At 54.6% G+C, this 2745-nt stretch overlaps 1 pseudogene; it reads left to right on the forward strand.

The window, feature by feature from the left end:
- HTR3C2P (5-hydroxytryptamine receptor 3C2, pseudogene) lies at positions 1354–2401 on the forward strand (annotated as a pseudogene).

Below are 2745 nucleotides of genomic sequence, written 5' to 3' on the forward strand. Positions count from 1 at the left end.
GGTGTCCTCTGAGCTATTCTGTCACTCAATAAAGCTCCTCTTCTTCTTGCTTACCCTCCACTTGTCTGCTTACCTCATTCTTCCAGGACACAGGACAAGAACTTGGGACCTGCCGAATGGCAGGGCTGAAAGAGCTATAACACGAACAGGGCTGAAACATACCCCTTGCTCACCATGTTGTGGCTGAAGAGAAGGAGAGAAGAGCTGTGGCCCTTTGGGGAGCCCAGAGCTGGGAGCTCCCCAAGCCAGGGCTGGGACTCCCTCTTTGAGGCCCTGCAGTTCCTGGAATCTCCAAGCTTCCAGGTGTCACCGTGTTCCCTGGCAGCAGCCATGGAAGCTGCTTACGGTGCACCTGGTCCAGCCGCAGCCTTGCAGAGAGCCAGCAGCCATGTCAGCACCTGGAGCTGCCCACCACAGCAGCCGGCGTGCCTGACTGTGCACAGTGGCCAGACCCCACACTCGCTCGCTCACACCCTCCTCGCCACTCCACACCTGGCTTGCCCTTGGAGGGGTGGGATCCAGGCTGGTAGCATGAGCCGAGTGCAGCCTGCCAGACCGAGTGGGCAGAATGAGCCCAGTGGGCCCAAGAAAAACTCAGACAAAGGCACCACTGGCCACAGAGGTTTCCAGCCAGAAAAGTGACACCCCAGCAATCCTGCAACAGAAAGGAGTGAGGCTCTGAGACACCCCAGCATAGAAAGGAGGCAAATGAGCAGCAAGGAAGTCATTGTATTGGGCAATCTGGAAAAGGTAGCTAAATTGGTTTTCTAATTCATCACACCTGCACGAGTAGGTGTCATGCAGATGTGTGCTGAATAAATGTTTGTCTCCCCTGCAGTGGATAACATGGGCGGGGGCAAGGAAGTATAGGAAATAGCAGATACTTCAAGTGACACTGTGCAAACACAGTGGGAGTGGGAGCTCCTGGGCATCAACAAGGCCACACTGAAGATATCTGTGGGTTCCAGTCTTTTTGACCAAATCATGTTGTCTGTGAACCTGTACCCCTCACCACCACCTCCTCCCTCACCAGACCCATCTGAGTCCAAGAGCCAGATCCTCTTACTTCTTGCCCCAAGACCAGACAATCCCTGGGCACCATAACCCTCAGAGCCTTCCTCTCTCCCGAGTCCCTTAAAGCATCACCCCTTTTTGAACCTGCCAGCTCTGGCCTAGGGTTTGTTTGGAGGTATGGGGGCGTCTTGTTAGTCATATGAAAGCTGCTTCTTTTTCAGCCCCATAGAGAGAGCCCTTGCTGGGGCGAGGACACCAAAGAAGGATAGGGCTGGAACTAGCCTTTGGGCCCCCTTCAGGGCTGACTTTACCAGTTCTCTGCTCATTCCTCCTCACCAGGTGGCCATCAGGTGCAGGCCCAGCCTCTATGTGATAAATTTTCTGGTGCACAGTGGCTTTCTTTTAATTTATTTATCTCTATATTTTTTAGAGACAGGGTCTCACTCTATTGCCCGGGCTGGAGTGCAGTGGCACAATCACAGCTCACTGTAACCTCAAACTCCTGGCCTCAAGAGATCCTCCCACACTGGCCTCCCGAAGTGCTGGGATTACAGGCCTAAGCCACCGCGCCTGCCCCCCCACGGGCTTTCTGGTTGCCATCGATGCCCTCAGCTTCTACCTACTAGCAGAAAGTGCGAATCATGCCCCATTCGAGGCCACCCTTCAGCTGGGCTGCAGCGTCTTCCTGCTCATGGTGAATACACTACTCCCCGCTAGTGTCACCCCCTCATCAGCACAGCTCCTCCCACAGTTGGAAAATGGAAAAAGAAAAAGAAGTATTTTCTTTTAGGGTTGCTGGGGCTCCTGAGGCAGAAGGGAGAAAGAAGGCGTCTCAGGAAGGGCCCTCTGTGTGAAACAGGGAAAAGGGGGGCTTAGTAGTGGCACCTATGGACCTGCCTCAAGCCTGCTTCTTATCCCCAGCCCAGGTGTCTACTTTGCCTGTCCCTGGTGGTGGGCAGCCTGCTGGAGACCGTCTTCATCACCCACCTGCTGCACGTGGCCACCACCCAGCCCCCACCCATGCCTAGGTGGCTTCACTCCCTGCTGCTCCACTGCACCAGCCCAGGGAGATGCTGTCCCACTGCGCCCCAGAAGGGAAATAAGGGCCTGGGACTCACCCCCACCCACCTGCCTGGTGAAGGAAGCCAGCACTGTCCATACTCGCCCTTCACACTGGGCCCCGCACTCCTCTAATCCTGTCCCCTTCCCACTCCACGACTGAGCCTCTGTCCTCTCCACAGGCCCAAAGGAGCCGGGGGAGTTAGCAGGGAAGGAGGTGAGACCCGGAGAGACTGAGCTAGATGGGGGCTCAGGATGGACAAACGCCCAGCTAGTGGAGCTGTGGGTGCAGTTCAGCCACGCGATGGACACCCTGCTCTTCCGCCTCGGGAACACCTAGGAGTTGAGTTCTGAGTGTGCGCGAGCAGCAGGGTTCAGCTTCCCTTGGCCTCAGCGGGCCATGCCAGGCGCTGCTTCTGCACTGCAGTCGGCAGACCCAGCCCCAGCCATGCCATGATCCCTGCTCCAGCCCTTCCTGTGGTTAAATAGAACCACTGCTAGCACTCCCAGAAACGAGAATGTATTTCCAAAATAGAATACATTCAGAAGATACATGTTTATGTTAGAAATATAATTTAATAGAAAAGAAAGACTTTATCATAAGTGACCGCAAATATGTACCAGAAAAGTAATTCATGTTATTGGTATGGAGGAAAAGGATTCGTTTTTTAA

Source organism: Homo sapiens, chromosome 3 (genome assembly GCF_000001405.40).
Source record: "Homo sapiens chromosome 3, GRCh38.p14 Primary Assembly".
NCBI classification, from domain to species: domain Eukaryota; kingdom Metazoa; phylum Chordata; class Mammalia; order Primates; family Hominidae; genus Homo; species Homo sapiens.